Here is a 19,771-nt window from a genome sequence, read left to right on the forward strand (position 1 = left end):
GTGTCACAATCAATCAATCAGTCATTAGGCTGGGCTCTGTGACTCATGTCTGTAATCCCAGAACTTTGGGAGGCTGAGGCAGGCAGATCACCTGAGGTCAGGAGTTTGAGACCACCCTGGCCAACATGGTGGAACCCTGTCTCTACTAAAAATACAAAAATTAGCCGGGCGAGGTGGTGCGTGCCTATAATCCCAGCTACTCAGCAGGCTGAGGCAAGAGAATCATTGGAACCCGGGAGGCAGAAGTCACAGTGAGCCAAGATCACGCCACTGCACTCCAGCCTGGGCAATAGAGCGAGACTCTGTCTCAAATAAATAAATAAATAAATAAATAAATAAATAAATAAAATTAAAACCCTGGTGGCTAAAAGAGGACAGGAACAGAATCTGGAATAGAAAAGACCCAAAGCCCTGTATTTCCTGTTATAGCTTATTTGCTGATAGATGTCAGAGCAATGGAGGAATGGCAAGTGTGTTTTTAACCTATCTCTCTGAATTTTCTTTGTATTCTCAAAGAACACGAAGGCCCTAAAGCAATAGTTCTCAACCTTGTTGCACATTAGAATCACTTGGAGCCTGAAAAAGTCCTGATGCCCAGACCATACCCTAGACCAGTTAAATCAGAATGTCTGGGGCGTGAGATCCAGGCATATGTGTTTTTTTAAAATATAAAACAATACTTCATTTCCTTTATTACCTAGTTGTATCGTTAAAATAAGAACAAATACAGTGGAATGGAATACTTCATATGACTTCATGTGAAAAATACTTCATTATACAATAAACAACCCTCATGCATTTCAACATTGCCACCAGTAACACTAAAGACTCCCAGTTCTATTCATATGTGATCATCACTGCCCTACACCCCAACCCCAGCTCCTCCAAGCTTCAACAGGCATCAGTATTTTTCGTAGCCCCTGGCTTATTCCATCATGCAGCCAATGTGGGAATCTAGAGATTGACTTCCTTGGAAACAGAGGCTCTAGAGACTAATTCTTATTGGCTCAGCTATAGACACGTTGGCAGCCAGACACGTTGGCACACTAGTCTCATGGTACTATAAGCATTTTTTAGAGGTATAAACTCAAACAGCACACTCAAGTGTCATTTATCTTTGAGTGATAATTTAACAGTTGGCATTTGGTGGCCCCACATAGCTAATGCTAATCTGAAAGTGTCCAACTGAAGTCCACAGGTTAATTGCACACTTAGCAGGATATGGTGTGATGATCAGAGAATTCTTTGAGATTCACCAGTGTAAAGAATTTAGCAAAAATGTGGCTGGGCATGGTGGCTCTCGCCTGTCATTGGATCCCTTGAGTCCAGGAGTTCAAGGCCAGACTGGGCAACATGGTAAGACCCTGTCTCTACAAAAAATACACAAATTAGCCACATGTGGTGGTGCACACCTGTAGTTCCAGCTACTCAGGAGGCTGAGGCAAGAGAATTTCTTGAGAATTTCTTGAGCCCATCAACAGGTTTTGAATGTTCCAGTCTTTTTTTTTTTTTTTTTTTTTTTTTTTTTTGAGTCAGGGGTCTCATTCTGTCACCCAGGCTGGAGTGCAGTGGTGCGATCATGGCTCACTGCAGCCTCAACCTCCTGGGCGCAAGCCATCCTCCCCTCTCTGCCTCCTGAGTAGCTGGGACAACCATGCCCGGCTAATTTTTTTTACAAGACCACTGTTAAAAGCCCGGAAGAATCCTGCAGCTCGCTGTGGTGGGCTGTTTTGCGTGTGCTAGAGTCTATTCAGCATTTCAGACAGAAAAGCCTCAGCATTCCTCTTCTGTGGGTCTCCACCGTAGCTCCTTTGAAATCTCTGCTTTCTCACACTTTCCCATCTGAGTCTTTGTGCCATGGCCGTCCCCTCCTCTCCAATACGAAGAGCCCACACTCAGTTTCCCTCCCTCCTCCTCCATCCCACACTGCCCGAGCACCTCACCTCCCAATGACTGACTCGTCCCCGGTCTTGCACACACCTGGGGAGTGTAGCTGGCCTGTCCTGCACACCAGCCTTGCAGGCTCAGTGAGTAGACCATCCTTGTCTGCTCTTGCCGGGTGCAGCTGTGTGTAGTGGCCCAAGGGGGGGTCATCTGGGAGGGCACCAGGAAGCATAAGTGACATGCACCATGAGGAAGCGTAAGTGATGTCCACCACAAGAGGTGTGGGGAGCGGCAGCAGCGCGTTCATCCACTGTGCTTGACTTTGTTTATTTCCCCGATGACCTTTTCCCGGACTTCCTAGCTGGATCTCCGTGAGTGCCAGGGCTGGGTCTGGGAAGGGTTTGGGACCCAGCACATCACCTGGCACAGTCAGTGTTTGCTCAATATTTGCTGAGAGAAAACCCCAGCCATGTCACCGACTTACAATAGGAGCTTCTCGTACGGAGCAGAAATGTGTTGTTGCCTGTGGCTTTGCAGGAGCTCCGAGCAGTGGCGAGAGGAAGTCATGGGTGACCATGGTAGGCATTACCGCCTGATGGGGTTGCTGGCTGGTCCTGAGCTCATCACCGTCCATCTCCTGCATCCACAGTGATTTCTATTAAGTGCAGCTTTTCGTCAGGCAACCACCAACGGCACTGAGGGGTGGGATGATGGCAAATTGACCAAAACGCTCAGGGGGTGCTAGCCACGCGGCGGGTGCAGATGTGGACTCCCCAGCCCCACGAGCTTGGAGTGCCATTCAGCCCCGCTGCACCCCCGTCTGTCTCCAAGGCGGAGGAACTGGGGTGGGAGGAGGAGGCACAGAGCTGTCTGAACACAGCTAGAGCCACTCACTGGCCCCTGCAGGGGAGCAACGCAGTGGGGAAGCCTGGAGGGAGGGAAGGTGCAGTTGCAGTGGGTGGGCACGGGGGCTCAGCTACTGGCACAGAGAAACACAAGGGAACTACGAAAGAGCAGGAGGGAGGACGCGGGGGTGGGCGCAGGGCTGGAGGACCGGGTGGTCCACAAGGTGGTCAGGACCTCAGCTGGTGGCTGGGCTTGGGAGGGGCTGGCATGGAGTCACGGGCCACCATCCCCTAAGTGTTTCCATAGGCAAGGTTCTCATTCCCCTAGTCAGGGGAGGGGACGGGTACAGAGAAGCGCAGCAATGAGCCAGGAACAGAGCTGAGATGAAACCTCAGCCTCCCGTCTTCAGAATGAGAATTAATCCACAGAGGAGCTAAGGAAAATGCCGGGCACCGAGTTGACGGGTGAGGGGTGTGAGCCATGTGGCCGGCATGGCCGCCCCACCACCAGCTCCATCCTGAGCACTTCACAGACATGGCCCTCTTCATCCACACAACTGCCCCAGGAGCCACTGAATGAGGCTCGATGAAACCTCAACTCGCGTTGCAGCGCACGTCTGATCACACTCGCCTTTGATCACTTTTATCACTGGGGATCCTGCAGTCAGGGCTTTGTGTCTGCAGCGGTCCCTGGGAAACAATCTACAACTCGAAGCTCCACCAAACTCACTCAGAGTCACAAAATTTCTATCACTGACTGCTTTCCTCCAAGGCCCAAACTGGATTTATAAACTTCCAAAGAAAACTTCATATTGAAAAAGCGATGTACCCACAGCATTGTAGAACGATGTTCACAAAGGAAAAACAAGGCCGGGCGTGGTGGAGTGAGGCTCTAGTCCCAGCTACTTGGGAGGCTAAGGTGAGAGGGTGGTTTGAGCTCAGGAGAAGCTTGCAGTGAGCCCAGATGCACTTCAGCCTGGGCAACAGTGCTAGATCCTGTGTCAAAAATAATTTTTTTTTTTTTTTTGGTGGCTCACATCTGTAGATGCAGCTACTCAGGAGGCTGAGGTGGGAGGATCAATTGAGCTCCGGAGGTCGAGGCTGCAGTGGGCTGTGATTGCACCACTGCACTGTAGCCTGGGCGACAGAGCAAGATCCTGTCTCCAAAAAAAAAAAAAGGAAAAACTATTGTTTTTGCCATCGCCACCCAGTAAACATAGTTACTGATATTTTTACTTGCAGTGTAACTTTCTGGCCCCTTCCCATAATCACATGTATTTGGTAAGCTTTTGTTTTCAAAATAAGCCAATAACATTTAATAAGAAACAACAGTATATTTGTCTGTTTTCATGCTGCTGATAAAGCCATACCCGAGACTGGGTAATTTACAAAGAAAAAGAAGTTGAATGGACTCACAGTTCCATGTGGCTGGGGAGGCCTCCCAATCATGGCAGAAGGCGAAAGGCAGGTCTTGCATGGTGGCAGCCAAGAGAGAGAATGAGAACCAAGCAAAAGGGGTTACTCAGGAGCCTGTGGCAGGAGAATGGCGTGAACCCGGGAGGTGGAGCTTGCAGTGAGCGGAGATCGCGCCACTGCACTCCAGCCTGGGTGACAGAGCAAGACTCCGTCTCAAAAAAAAAAAAAACCCATCAGATTGGCTGGGTGCAGTGGCTCACGCCTATAATCCCAGCACTTTGGGAGGCTGAGGTGGGTGGATAGCTTGAGGTTGGGAGCTCGAGACCAGCCTGGCCCACATGGTGAAACCCCATTTTTACACTACACTACATTTTTAGTGTAGATCCCAAATATTTAGCGTAAGTATGGTTTGTGTAATATTTAGGATGCTCATATTTTAAAACGGTGATACTGGAATGCTTCTCCCCACCGTCATGAAGCTGGCACTTTCTTACCAGCTGGGACTTGGGTCCAACGGGGTCTTTTCTGACCATGTTGTGTAACGCTCACAACCTCCCTCAGTGGAGTCATCGCTGGCTTATCACCTGGTTTCATTTTCATCCAGCACTTATCGCTATCCAAAACCATCTTCTTTCTTATGTACATATTTGTTTATTTTTCTGTAAACTTGCATAGAGAAGTACCTATTTATTAATTAATGTTTACTAATTTTCTTATTCCACCAGAAGGCAAGCTCCATGGGAGCAGGGGTTTCCCTTTCTTGATTGATCCTTTCTCCCTACAAAAGACCACACAGCACACAGGGGTCACGGTGCACCTGGGAAGCATCTGGGAAGGTGGACGATTAGAAATGGGCTTTTGGGCTGGGCACGGTGGCTCACGCCTGTAATCCCAGCACTTTGGGAGGCCAAGGTGGGAGGATCACAAGGTCAGGAGATTGAGACCATCCTGGCTAACATGGTGAAACCCTGTCTTTACTAAAAATACAAAAAAAAAATTAGCCGTGCATGGTGGCAGGCGCCTGTAGTCCCAGCTACTCCGGAGGCTGAGGCAGGAGAATGGTGTGAACCCGGAAGGCGGAGCTTGCAATGAGCCAAGATCGCGCCACTGCACTCCAGCCTGGGCGACAGAGCAAGACTCTGTTTCAAAAAAAAAAGAAAAGAAAAGAAAAGAAAAAAGAAATGGGCTTTTGGATCCAAATGATAACAACAGTGACTCCACCGCCTGACATTTTGTCTAACATGATCCCACCCCTGGTCACAATTGATTGGACAGGGATGGGCACTCAAACCATGCTGGACCAATCAGAGCCCCTTCCTCAGTCCCGCTCCTAATTAGTGCAGGGCTGGGCCAATCAGAGTCACTGCTCTGGGAATTTAGAATCTGAAGTGAGCAAGAACAGGAACAGTGGCTCCCCAGTGGCTGAATCTCTAACAGGTAAACTTTGAAAGCTGTTTGGTACATTTTCATTTTTCAGTCTTGAGGACCAGAAAGCAGAGAAAACATCTGTAGAGAGCGAGGCGACACTGACTTCTACCTAACTTCCCCAAAAATATTCACACCCAGGCCTGAGGGAAGAAACAGGAGCTACATACAGAATGGAGATGGAAACACACATGTGTTCACACACGCACACACAACACACGTGCACACACATGTGCACAATGCACATGAGCACACATGCACATACGTATACACACATGCTCATGCAGTGCACACACGCATACCCGCACACGAACACACACGAACACATGCACACACGGGCACACACACATGAACACACATGCACAATGTATACACAGTGCATATGTGCACACATGCACATGAACACACACATGCACACACACGCACATGAACACACACACATGCACACACACGTGCACACACATGTAGTCGTTTTAGGAACTAGACTGCCAGTTTATGAATTTGCAATGATAAATCACTTTCCCGGGATATAAGCGTGATGGTCACATCCTTTCCTCTCAGTCCAGGGGTCGTCCTTGAACTGCACAGCCACAGTGCCAGTCCCAACAGTGCCAAGATTCCCCTCCAAGGAATTCACTCTTCCCGTCTCTCATCTTGAAGCTGCCGATTTGTGCCCCACTAGAGGAGCCAAGACGTCCCTAGAACCTCCTCCTCTCATGCGGACAGCCTGGCAGGCACCCCCCAACTCCGGGCTCTCAGGCCTCGTTTGGATTTATTTTGAAGGAAGCTATTGTTTACTAAATGCTTAATTCTCCCGGAATGGTGCCAAGCGCTTCATACAGCCCTGCCCAATGAGCTGGGCCCTCCCGCACCTTTAGGGAATGAGCTGAGCTATCTGCGGGGGTACTCGAGGTGGGACAGGCACAGTGTGGCAGCGCGTGGATCTGGCTGCTGTTTTCCTTTGTGACTGGCACCTCTCCTCTCCCCCTTCCCTCCTCCCCACCGCTTTGCTCCCCCAGCCTTTCTTCCTTGGCCTTCAAGGCCATACACACTCCCTGGAAAGAGCCCTTGCTGCCACCTCTGTTACTCATCGTCCTTGGCCCGTGCTTGCTCCAAGTGCTGGCACCCCCAGCTCCTAGGAAAACTGCTGGCAGTGTCCCCACCAACGGAAATTTCCTTGGCCTCTCTGTTTGTTTCGCTTTGTTTCTGGCCCTGCCACGGTGTGGCCCAGGCCTCGGGAGCCTGTCTGTGTGCAGTTCTCTGCACCTTGTCCGCTCCCTTCCCTTCGTCTTATGGGCACTGCCCCTCCTTCCATCCAGGGTTTGCTGTGTTTTCATCTCATTCTCTGTTTCTCTCTGAAAACCTTTCTCTAGCCCTACCTGTCCTTCATCTGAGGTTCTCATTCCCTCCATCCCCAGCAGCTCCAGATTCCCAATCTGGGTGAACAAAGAGGACAGAAAATCTGTGAAGGAGAGGACCGAGAACCTGGAAAAATCAGCTGCAGAGACGGGGAGGGGACCGGGAGCAAGTGAAGCTGAGTAGGAGAGAAATAAAAAGGAAACTGGGTTTTGGAGAAAATGACAAATAAAGTGAAACCAGATTGGCCCACGTGGATGGGAGCCAAGGGAGGGATGACCCAGCTCATTTCCATGGCCCGGGAGAGACACCGGATCCTTCTTTCGGTCTGTGGCAGGGAGGGCCTAGATCCTTTGAGCAGATGTGAAGCCGGTGGGGAAGCCAAAAGTGGGGTTGGGACAAGGTCAGAGGCTGACACTGGGAGACAGAGACAGCAGCAGTGGCCTTGGACCTGAGAGCAACCGAGTCAGGGAGGGGCCGAGGTCAGCTCGGGGTCCATGGCCAGGACGCACGTCCAGTGAGGAGGGCGCCCCATCCTCACTCTGGGAACAGCGTCCTCGGCTGTCCTGCGGGAGTGCTGCCTCCCACTCTCCAAGCACACCTTGCTCCAGGCGGGGTCACCCTCGGGCTGGCCAGATGAGCAGCCAAAGCCGGGCCCCTGAGAATCAGCCCTGGGATGGTGGCTGGAACTGCCGGGAAAGAGGTGACGTCGCTCCACTGGAGGCCAAGCCACAGCCTCGGGTGGCCACCATTGCCCCATCAGGGAACCCCCATGAGTGTCCCCTGGGGAAAGCAGAGCCTGGGGGAGCACTCAGAGCCCTGGCAGTCGACAACCCCTGCACCCGGTTGCAGCCCTGACTCTTTAGGATCGGAGCTGGCAAATCTCCCTCTTCTTTGCTTAAGCCAGTTTGAGGTGGGGTTCTGCCAGGTAAACCAAAAAGAAGTCTTAAGAAGCCTTACTGGAATTCCTCACTTGGAGAGCAGCAGTGAGATCCCAGGCTGCAGGGACAAGAGGGAGGAAGGCAGGGGGCAGTGACGGGTGGGAGATGGTGCATGCTGGCTCTGGAGCTGACTGTGCAAATCTCTTCCCAACTCCACTATTGGTGACTGCACCTTCAAAACTTGAACTCGGCCATGCAGGGGTAATTGCACCATGGAAAGTGGCGAACACCACACATCACCGCTCTTGTACCTCCACCCAGCCCCGGAAAGCCAGCTGCTAGGCCTGTACCAGCATTCCCCACCCATGGACTCAGGAGGGCCAGGCTTACCTGGGACCACTTCTGAAAGTTGCACCAGCCCCAGCTTCCCTGAGGACAAGGCTGAGTCACGAAGCATGGACGAGGCTGAGCTGCAGTCTGCACAGGTGGAGTTAAACAGGCCATAGCCAACTCGCCCCTCACCCAGGGTCTGCACAGACCTCACCTGCAGCCAAATTACATTTGAGCACACAGTAAAAGGATGGAAACTGATGATCCTCCTGCTCCCTCCCTTCCATTTCTTTGCTCTCAGTTTAGTCACTGTTTTTTGTTTGTTTGTTTGATTGTTTGTTTGTTTTTGAGACAATGTCTTCTTGCTCTGTCACCCAGGCTGGAGGGCAGTGGTGCAATCTCAGCTCACTGCAACCTCCGCCTCCTGGGTTCAAGCAATTCTCCTGCCTCAGCCTCCTGAGTAGCTGGGACTACAGGCACGCACCACCACACTTGGCTAATTTTTCTATTTTTAGTAGAGACGGGGTTTCACCATGTTGGCCAGGCTGGTCTGGAACTCCTGACCTCAGGTGATCCACCTGCCTCTGCCTCCCAAAGCACTGGGATTACAGGCATGAGCTACTGCACCTGGCCAATTTAGTCACTTATTTTATTTTATTTTATTTTATTTTTTTTGAAACTAAGTCTCACTTTGTTGCCCAGGCTGGAGTGCAGTGGCGTGATCTCGACTCACAACTTCCGCCTCCCAGGTTCAAGCAATTCTTCTGCCTCAGCCTCCCCAGTAGCTGGGATTACAGGTGCTTGCCACCACGCCCAGCTAATTTTTGTATTTTTACTTTTTTTTTTAGACCAGGTTTCACTCTTGTCACCCAGGCTGGAGTGCAATGGCACGATCTCGGCTCACCGCAACCTCCACCTACCAGGTTCAAGCGATTTTCCTGCCTCAGCCTTCCAAGTAGTTAGGATTACAGGCATGCACCACCACGCCTGGCTACTTTTGTATTTTTTGTAGAGATGGGGTTTCTCCATGTTGGTCAGGCTGGTCTCGAAATCCTGACCTCAGGTGATCTGCCCGCCTCAGCCTCCCAAAGTGCTGGGACTACAGGCGTGAGCCACTGCACCCGGCCAATTTTTGTATTTTTTAGTAGAGATGGGCCTTCACCATATTGGCCAGTCTGGTCTTGAACTCCTGACCTCAAGCAATCCACCTGCCTCGGCCTCCCAAAGTGTTGGGATTACAGGCATGAGCCACTGCACCTGGCCACTTTTATTTGCTTGTATCAGGACTCTTGGAAGCAAGTGATAGGAACTTAAATCAAACTGATTTTAAAAAGAGGCTTATTAGTACAGGGGTTGACTTGGCTTCAGGTACAGCTACATTCAGAGGCCCCGAAATTGGCTTGGGCCTTGATATCCCCCACCTTGGCTTTGCCCTCCTGTGTGGACACTTTCTCAGGAGGGCCCTCACCTGCTGCGGGGCACAGCTATGGAAATAATCTCTTTAAATACGTCCCAGAAAAAAACTCCTTGGCTCTCATTGGCTGGTCTTGAGTCACGTGCCCATGCCTGTACCAATTGCTGCAGCCAGTGACAGGGCTGTTCTGAGTGGCCATGCCCAGGTCCCCACCCACTCCTGTCTCTGGACCCCGTGAATGGGAGTCGGGGATGGGCTCCCAAGGAAAACAGGAATGTTGGACCCAGGACGCAGGAGGATGGAAGCCGAGCCAGCAACACAGCAGATACCCTTACAAAGCCACGGACTGGCGGGATCAGCGGCACCTGGGAGCCTGCTGGCATGAGATTCTTGGATCTGCCTTGCACCTGCCAAGTCAGAATGTCTAGAGGGAGCACAGGTTGTGTTGTGTGTATGTTATTGTTATTATTATTATTTTTTTTGAGAGACAGGATCTCACTGTGTTGCCCAGGCTGGAGTTAAGTGGCACAATCCCAGGTTACTGCAGCCTCAATCTCTTGGGCTTAAGCAAGCCTCCTGCCTCAGCCTCCCGAGTAGCTGGGACCACAGGCATGCACCACCACGTCCAGCTAACTTTTTTATTTTTATTTTTGTAGAGATGCATTCTCGTTACCCTCCCGCCTTGGCCTATCACAGTGCTGGGGTTACAGGTGTGAGCCGCCGGGCCGACAGGAGTCTGTGCTCCAACACACTCTCCAGGGGATGTTGGTGCACACTGGTGTGTGAGAACTGTTTGTCAGCCCCCCACTAAAATTAGCATTTTATTCACTGATGTGAATAATATCCTCGCCAGGACCAGGTGTAGTGGGGAAGGGGAGGTTCCAGGGAAAGTTGCGAGGCTGTTCCTGAGGAGGGTGTGCCACACAGACAGGCACGCAGGTTGAGATTCTTGACCAAAAGCAGCCTTTGACTAGTGATCCTGGGGGATAATTACCATCTGCAGTTGTCTTGTTTTCTAGCCTAAAACCTGAGCCTGGGTTCCCTTGGGGATACAAAAAACATCTAGATTCCAAGGCACACCTGCTGCCACGAGCTGAACAAAAAATAACAAGTGTGCCCTTAAAGCACTGCAGGGATGTTCCTGCTCCACCGCCAACAGGGCTGAGGCGTGGGCTTGTTCTTGCCCTGGGGGGTGAGGGACGGGCCTCCCGTGCAGACCTCAAGGCCCAGTGGACACAGCCTCTGCTGGGCTTGAGCCAGAGGCCCATCTGGGCCCTGGGCCGGCTGCCGGCTCTCCTGGGGACTGACTGTGACCTTGGCCTCACTCACCCAGAGTGCTGGTGCTTCCTCTCTGCATGGGGGTCAGCTCCTGGTGGCCTCCTGCTGGATTTTGTGGATGTTCGATGCAGATTATTTCTCTAAAGGGTGCCTGCTCCCCAGATTCCCTTCTTTGCAGAGCACAGAGTCCCACTGGGAGGCCTCTGTGGCCTCTGGCCAAGGAGTTCCCCAAGCCTCCTTTTTCCCCATCTGTAAAATGGGGACTGGTCTGTGTCTCCCACGACTGTTGAAAGGAAGACTGCAGTGGTGCAAGTGAAGCCCTTGGTGAGGAGAAGTGAGTTGGTGAAGGGCTAGAATCTGCAGTCGAACGGAAGCCGGCTCCTTGCACTGGGTCACTCACCCTTGGAAGTCGCCCCTTCTCTGAGCCTCCATTTCTTGCTACATAAAACGAGGGTCCCGCAATACTCTCTCTAGTGGCTTCTGTTTTGTGCCATGCTGCTATTCATAGATGGCAGTGCTTTTTTTTGTTTGTTTGTTTTCCATGATGGAGTCTCGCTCTGTCACCCAAGCTGGAGTGCAGTGGCTCAATCTCTGCTCACTGCAAACTCCACCTCCCAAGTTCAAGCGATTCTCCTGCCTCAGACCCCCGAGGAACTGGAACCACAGGTGTGGGCCACCAACCCAGCTAATTTTTGTATTTTTAGTAGAGACGGGATTTCACCATGTTGGCCAGGCTGGTCTTGAACTTCTGACCTCAGGTGATCCACCCACCTTGGCTTCCCAAAGTGCTGGGATTATAAGCATGAGCCAGCTCATGCCAGGGTGGGCGAGCTGGCTTGAGGTGAGCCGAGATCACACCACCGCACTCCAGCCTGGGCGACAGAGCGAGACTCCGTCTCAAAAAGAAAAAAAAATCCACCTCCTCCAGCATCAATGTTTAAAAGTACCTACCTCTTCAGCACACAGGGATCAAAGGGGACGAAGGTGTCCAGTGGGTTTGTGCAGGTCTGCACTGAGTCTCCTCCAGTGGTACTCCTAATGACTGGCAGCATCTGGCGATTGTTCCTCTCGATGATGGTGTAGCAGAAGACGAGCTGGTACTTACTGTGGAACAAAAAAACAACACAGACAGAGGCATTAACATGCTGGAGTGACTCTGCGGATGTGAGCTGCATGTGACAACTGTACCTACCACAGAGAAATTGCTGAATATAACAAGTGCTGGTAAAAATAACAATATAAAGCAGAAAGTAACACTTTTAGGGTACCGTTCTATGGGTCTTCTATCTGCAAGTTTGCTAAGGAGAAAGAAAACGTGGCTATCACTCAGAATGTGAAACTGGGCTTATATTTTAATGAGTAATAGATATTATTCATTAAAAATAAATGTTTGCAAGGCAAAACTCTTAGATTACATAACTACAGGTGTCTTTATTTTTACTGTTTGCAAAAGAATTAGAAGGTTGGTGGAAAAGGGATTCAGGAGTTACTCAGGAGGAAATAGTGGTTGGTGAAGAGACTTGCTGAAGAAGCACTGAAGAAGAAATAAGCCTTTACTGAAGGAGGGACATGGGGTTGACTAAGTCATGACCTCAAAAACAGGCACAGAAAGGACTAGGCATGCCGAGTGAGAACAGTTAAATGCATAGAAGAAAACATAAAATAAAGACAATTATGTTTTTAATTTTTCCAGTAGTTGTCTCTAAATGATTGAGCAACTTGAAAAATTATTTATTGGACAGCTTCTCCAAGATGAGGACTTAGATCTCACTTCTGTCACTCTCCATCTCAGGTTCTCCGGTCACCATGGCAACTTCAAGCCACATACTTTGATTTCTGTCCTGTTAGCCAAGGCTCACGGCACTTGACCCCTCCTCCTGGTGGAGGACACATCAGCAAAACCACACTGGAGGGTGGTTTGCACTATCAGGTAAAGTTGAAGATCTACATCTCCTACAACCCCGCAGCTGACCGCACTTCCGGGTGTGTGACAAGGAAGCGTGTGCCCACACACAAGAATGTTCCTGAGCACTAAAACACTAACACAGCCGGCTGGGCACGGTGGCTCACACCTGTAATCCCAGCACTTTGGGAGGTTGAGGCAGGTGGTTCACTTGAGCTCAGGAGTTTGAGACCAGCCTGGTCAACATGATGAAACCCCGTCTCTACTAAAAATACAAAAATTAGCTGGGTGTGGTGGCAGGCGCCTGTAGTCCCAGCTATTCGGGAGGCTGAGGCAGGAGAACTGCATGAGCCTGGGAGGTGGTGGTTGTAGTGAGCTAAGATCACGCCACTGCCCTCCAGCCTGGGTGACAGAGCAAGACCTTGTCTCAAAAAAAAAAAAAAAAAAAGACAAAAACTAACAGATGAAATCCCAACAAAGACTCAATAAAAAAGATTCCCAGAACATAACACAGCAGTTAAAATCAATATAAAGCTTTGTGTCAATATGGTTCAATCTCAAAAGCATCAAGCAGGCAAAAGCAACAGCTACAGAATGGTACACGCCTTTATTTACCATATCTGTACCTAGGCAGAGACTTTTATTTCAATCCCCTGCTCTTAGCCTCACATCGCATCACACTCTGTCCCTCCAATGCGCATGCCAACCCCAAATCGAGAGCCCCTGGACCAGATGGTTCACAAATGCAGTCCTCTGTCCCCACCCTGAGAACATACCAGGGGCAGCGGCCTCTGCTTTGCTTCATCCATCCTCACTCTTTGAGCTGCTCACCATCTTAACCAACGTGCTGAAGCCTCCACCCACTCACCGCCGTTGCTTATTGGTCTCTTTATGCCTTTTCCTAATCCTTTACTATCACTGAGACTCAGAAGAGAGGACACCTTGAACCAGACGCCTAGCAAAGGAGAACTAAAGAGGCTGACAGAGCTCAGCAAGCTGCTGGCTCTTATCTGTTGAAGATTTTAAGCTATGATCTGGCCTAAATATCCTCATTGAATATTCAATTCTCCAATTCGCTTTCTCCATAAAGCAGAATAACTTAGTGAAAGCTTACAAAGGAGCCAGACTACATTTAAATCTGTGCTGCCAGTCTAGCTCTATGACTTTAGGCAAGTGATTTCACCTCTCTGTACCTCCACCTCCCTGTTGATAAACAGGGTTTCATCCTAGAGGGTTGTTTGAGGATCAAATGAGTTCTATGTAAAGTGCTTAGAACTGCCTGGCACAGAGGAAAGGCTATGGATTAGCCATAGCTACCAGACCTGAGAGAACAGAACTCTCTAAACCAATCTCTTACAGGTCAACATTTGCCTCATGTCCAGTTTATTTCTATTACTATTACAGGAGTCACTCTAATAAGCATCTATGGCTTTGCCCCTCTCAGCTTACTGGTTGCCATACTTATTTCAAAGTGCTGCCCTTTGGATAAGAAGTAGTAGTAATTTCCAATGCCATCAAAGTATAAAAACAATAGCTGTATCACAGTATTTCCTGTAAGGACTGGGTTGTTTTTGTTTGTCTAAGAGACAGGGTCTCATTCTGGAGCCCAGACTGGAATGCAGTGGTACAATCAGGGCTCACTGCATCCTTGACCTCCTGGGCTCAAGTGATCCTCCTACCTCAGCCTCCTGAGTAGTTGGGACTACAGGCACAGGCAACCACACCCAGCTAATTTTTAAAATTTTTTTATAGAGATAGGGTCTCACTATGTTGCTCAAGCTGGTCTTTTAACTCCTGGCCTCAAGCAATCCTCCCACCTCAGCCTCCCAAAATGTTGAGATTACAGGTGTCAGCCACCACGCCTGGCCTTTTATAATGTTACTAATTTCATAGAAATTTAACAGACTCTTACAATACTAGATAAACATAAATAAAAATATTTTAAATAACTCCCATCAAGAAAGCGTAAATAACTTACTTTGTGATTGCAGCAAAAAAGTTAACCACTGAGGGCAGGCAAATCTTCAGGGGATTTAGCTGGCTCATCACTATCCGCTCAAAATTCAGACTCTGAAGATACTGCAAACCTTTGGTTTAAAAAAAAAAAAGATTTTTTAAAGGTACAAATAAGTGAAAAGTGTAAGATATCTTTAAAAGCACAAATTATCACACATTTAAAAAAAACTTAAAAAAATTATTTGCAGAAATGCTTTCAATAAAGGTCCATGCAGATAGTCACACAGTATATGGCCCAGAAGAGTATCACTAGGCTAACCACATTCATTGGTCACCAAGGCAGCTTCTCTAAAGGAAACTTAGGAAGTAGCAGGCTGTAAGATTCCACGACAACGTGAAGTTCATACGTTTGTAAGCTCAGTGTATGCTGAGCTAATACAGAGGGAGAAAAAGACCTTGTGATTTGGTTTCAGCTAACAATCACGACAGGCAACAAAACAAAACAGCAATTTGATTCTAGCTTGCATGTCTCGTTAGTGAAGCTGAGTGCTGTTTTCAGGTGCACAGTAGTCATCTGTAGTTTTTTTTCTAAACAAGAAAACTCCAAATTTGCCTTCTACCTCAACGGACGGCAAATTTAGACAGAAGCCACTTTCTTAGACTTAATAAATACAATTCTTTCCTACATGAGTAAAATAAAGACATCACATTTATTTTAAGAGGCAAGCTGACCAACTTGTACTTAAGTATATTTTCTTAGGAGTTTCTTTGATGCATATTTCAATAAAAATTACCTAAATGGGATGTCACTGCTTACAAAAACAAGATATTTAATTCAGATTCCTGGCATTAATTTATACAAAGAAAAGCAGAGCTTGTATTTACTTACCTTGTGATAAAACCTCATCCTACTAGTTCATACAACATCTTTTAGAAGCATGTAGGATGTAGGTAAACATATATAATGCAACACGTACAACTGTCAGTTTAGAGCTGTGGCTGTTAACCTAAGGAGACTGCAACCCCCACAGAGGACACCTGGCAGTGTCTGGAGACACTTTTAGTTGTCACAGCTGGGGGTGGTCAGGGACTGCTGTTGGCAGCTAGTAGGTGGAGGCTGTTAAACATCCTACAGTGCAGAGGACAGCCCCCGACGATGAAGGATGATGCAGCCCAAATGGCAATCATGCAGGGTTGACAGACCCTGGTTTAGAGGAAGTGACCCACAAAACCATATGAATTATTCATAAACATAAACAGAACAATTTACAATGACTTATAAACACTGTTCTTGGAGACTCTCTTCAACTAAAATACGCTAATCTAGTAAGTTTCAACTGATAGATTTGAATTATAAGTAACTCTTAGAAATTAGCAAAACAATACTGGTCAATTAAGTCTCAAGGCTTCAGGCAGAGTGTAATCTATATAAACTCAAACTTTAGGGTCAGCTGAACCTGGCTTCAGTTTTCTAATCCTGCCAGTAACCATGTGATCTTGGGAAAATGACTTCCCCGTGCTTTGGTGCTGTCTGTAAAGGGAGAATACCTGCCATTTACTGGGCTGTTACAAGGACAACAAAGAGAAGGTGCATCCAACTGAAGCTTTGTACAGGGCGCTGGCACAGCCCAGGGCTCAGCCTCACCTCTGGAGACATCTTCACATTTCAAACCTTCAAAGGCAGAAACCTCTTTCTTAACCTCAAATCCATCTTAAGGGGTTTGTAGGGTTCTCAAGCTCAAATCTATCTTAAGGGGTTTGTAGGGGCCTATGAGCTGCTTGAAATTATTATTAGAAGTTTGAGTGTACATGCAGTTTTCTGAATCCAGTTTTTATAAAAATCTCAAAAAAGTAATGAATCACCATTCTGAAGGGTGACAAGAACACAAGGAAAATCCAGTCCAGCACTCCCACAACACTGACCTTCTTTCAGGTTTCCGCTCAAAAGCTGCTTGTGTCTAAAAACAAAGGTGTAGAACACAGCTTGGCAGGCTGAGTAAAATGGTCCATGGAGAGCAACATTGCAGAATGCCTTTGTTCCCGAATCCTGGTTATTAAGGTATATGTGCAGCCAGTTAACCAAAAGATCTAGGCATGGTTTTACAGTACTAGAGAAAAGAAAAATTCAAGTCAACTTTACACTTCATAAAAAAACCAGAATAACATAAAAACACACAACTGCCTTTCATTACAAACCATGCTAAGTAAGTTCATAGGTTTCTTTAAATAATACCCATGGGTACAGAGGAAAAGCAAAGAAAGGAAGGATAAGGATGGGTGCGTAGGAAGACAACCTTCCAATTACAAGGCAGAGTAGCTCTGACCTTCTAGGAACAGGTGAGCCCCTAAGAACGTCCCAAGGGATGGAAAGCAGGTTCTCCTAACCATCTCAAAGGCACCCCTCTTAGGGTGATTGGCCAAATAGGACATGTTCACCAACACGTCTCAAGAGAAAGACAGTCTGGTGGACTTCAGTATTCCCTGATGCATCCAGTCAAGTCCTATGGTGAATAATTTTGTTCTTGGGGAAGGGATTCAACAGCATCCTTGTCCAAAGATATCTTCATGGGCCACTGAAAGAAACTGGCCTCCTAGATAGGTCTATTACCTTTAAAAGGGTTTTTCTTCAGCTTTAACAGATACAATAGATTTGGAATGCAAATGAAAAAATGACAAACCTACAAAAAGAATCAAAACAGTATACAACACTGTCCTCTATCCACAAAACAAATGGATCTTTAAGTGCAACCACACAAAAGAGATGACAAAAGCCTTACATACAGGGTTTTATATATAAAAAAGGAGACACTTTATTCTAAAATCACCACTTAGAAATATAAACATCTTACACAGAGTAGGAATTTTATTCACTTTAAAAACATGCCAAAAACATATGGGAGATATTTCTGACTTGAGACAATGCTATACTCTTTTTAAAGCATGATATTAAAAAGTACTCGGAAAATTAGGCTACTTACATAAGAGGAATAAATTTAGCTCTTGCCAAAAAGCTTCCAATATAATTTCCAGCAGCCTGCCTGATGATGGCAGGATTACTTGGATCCTGCAATTTTTTCCAAAGATGTTCCAAAAATGCCTCTGCGAATCCCTATAAAAAGAGAGGGCGTCGGTGTGATATTTTTTAATGCCTAAGATAATCTGACTATCAAAATCCCAAGATTTTTACTTCACCAATGTAGGGAAAAGTTCTACTATCTCATAACTATCTCATGCGCTTCATTTTTAAAACACGTTGAGAGAATATCATTAGAAACAAAAGGCACCTCGGGTGTTAAATAATCCAATGGATCCCAAACCTAGCTAAGCATCAAAATCAACCCAGGGCCAGGCACAGTGGCTCACGCCTGTAAATGTAATCCCAGCACTTTGGGAGGCCGAGGCGGGTGGATCACCCAAGGTCAGGAGCTCGAGACCAGACTGGCCAACATGGAGAAACCCTCTCTCTACTAAAAATACAAAAATTAGCCAGGCGTGGTGGCAGGTGCCTGTAATCCCAGCTACTTGGGAGGTTGAGGCAGGAGAATCGCTTGAACCCAGGAGGCAGAGGTTGCAGTGAGCTGAGATCATGCCACTACACTCCAGCCTGGGTGACAGAGTGAGACTCCATCTCAAAAAACAAACAAACAAAAAACAACAAAAAATTCAACCTGGGAGGTACAAATTCAATAGGTTTGTGACAGGGCTTTGGAATCCACATATTATAAAAACTCTTCAAGTGATTCCAATGTCAGCCAGAACTGGTGACCAACAATAATTCACATCCCATGGAGCTCCACATGGGCACTCCTGTGAGTGCAAAGCACCTTCCGGTCTCTGGACACACTGAACTCAACCATGAACAGAAATACGGACTAACGTACAGCTGGTATTTGAGTTAATTATGCCAATCATGGAAAAAAACAGACACAGCTTCTCACCAAAGGGTGTAACTTCCAACTTCTCCTAAATAGCGCTGTTCTAAAGCTAGGCACGCCCATGTGGGCAGACTGAATTCAACCTTCTTTCCCATGACCAACACTCTCCTGACCTCTAGGAAGCCACAAAATCGTTGCAGAGAAGGAAAAGCCTTCTATATTGTTTCCCCCACCAAAAAAAAAAAAAAAAAAGAAGAAGAAGAAGAAGAAGAAAAGACAAAGCCTAAAGTTTTTAAAATCCCGGTGCTTTCCGGGAAGCGTTCGGGAGAAAAGTGTGTGGCCGCACTAGTGGAGATCCCCGCCGACAGGACCCGCCTCTCTCCCCAGGCCCGGCGGGGCCGACCCCGCTTCTCGCTCCCAGCATACCGTGCGATAGCGGCGGCGCGGCCAGCGGAGCCGGGAGGCGGGTTAGCAGTGGCCTTGTGAGCGTGAGGAGCTGCCGCCACCGCCTGCTCCTCGTCGTCCTCGTCCTCCGCGGCCCCGGCGACGTGGGCCGCGCACGGCCCTGGAAGAGACGTCGCCTCCCCTTCATCCACCTCTCTCTCACCGCGCCGCTCCCGCCTCCTCGTCCTGTGCTGCGGGCTCAGGCGGAACCCGGAACGGTCGTCCTCTTCCCCCGCCCGCCGCCGCCTCCTCCTTCTCCTCCTTCTCGGCTTCCTCCTCAGCCCCGGGCCGGAGCGGGGTGTTGGCGGCGGCCGGTTCGGGCGGCGACTCGCGCTTCTCTGGGCGGCGGCGCTTGGCCATGTCGTGTCGGGGAAGGTAATGAGCCGCAGAGCCCCGGGGTCTCGGCTGAGCGGCGGCGGCGGCACCAACGGCACCAACTATTCGCGGAGCTGGAATGACTGGCAACCCAGGTGGGTGACCGGCCCGGGACCCCGCCCCGACCTCCCGGGCTCCGCCTCGGGCGGGCCGAGGCCTAGGCCCTCCACCCCCGGGAGCCGGGCGCAGCTTCCTGGGTCTCCTCCGCCCCGGCTGGGGGAGGAAGGCCGCGGGGAGGCGAGGCCTAAGTGCCTCTCCCCTCCCTGCTTGTTCAGCCCGGGGCTGAAGCCGAGACCCGGGGCTCCCGGCGGTGGCACTGGCCTAGGGTCGGGACCAGGAGGTGAGAAAGAGGCGGGGGTGGGGGGGCGGGGGGCATTCCACTTACCGCT

At 48.9% G+C, this 19,771-nt stretch overlaps 2 pseudogenes across 2 annotated transcripts in view, besides 1 other annotated feature; one reads left to right on the top strand and one right to left on the bottom strand.

The window, feature by feature from the left end:
- Positions 1 to 656: 656 nt before the first annotated feature.
- On the bottom strand, positions 657 to 19,446 carry RRN3P3 (RRN3 pseudogene 3; annotated as a pseudogene). Its single transcript, NR_027460.2, has 7 exons — positions 18,990 to 19,446; positions 17,667 to 17,797; positions 16,612 to 16,796; positions 14,711 to 14,819; positions 11,781 to 11,933; positions 8,198 to 8,351; positions 657 to 2,579 (listed from the first exon to the last, which is right to left on the bottom strand). The product of NR_027460.2 is annotated as an RRN3 pseudogene 3 (transcript).
- The window catches only part of SMG1P1 (SMG1 pseudogene 1), a 55,213-nt pseudogene continuing 54,434 nt past the window's right edge, over positions 18,993 to 19,771 (top strand). Inside the window, exon 1 of the transcript NR_027154.1 lies at positions 18,993 to 19,477. The product of NR_027154.1 is annotated as an SMG1 pseudogene 1 (transcript). The remainder of the gene's footprint in view (positions 19,478 to 19,771) is intronic.
- Positions 19,204 to 19,703: a silencer, noted in NCBI's record as "silent region_7270". NCBI's record gives its function as "represses an Ori minimal core promoter by ATAC-STARR-seq in GM12878 lymphoblastoid cells {active_cell/tissue: GM12878}" and the evidence as "EXISTENCE:reporter gene assay evidence [ECO:0000049][PMID:35858748]".

Source organism: Homo sapiens, chromosome 16 (genome assembly GCF_000001405.40).
Source record: "Homo sapiens chromosome 16, GRCh38.p14 Primary Assembly".
Taxonomy (NCBI): domain Eukaryota; kingdom Metazoa; phylum Chordata; class Mammalia; order Primates; family Hominidae; genus Homo; species Homo sapiens.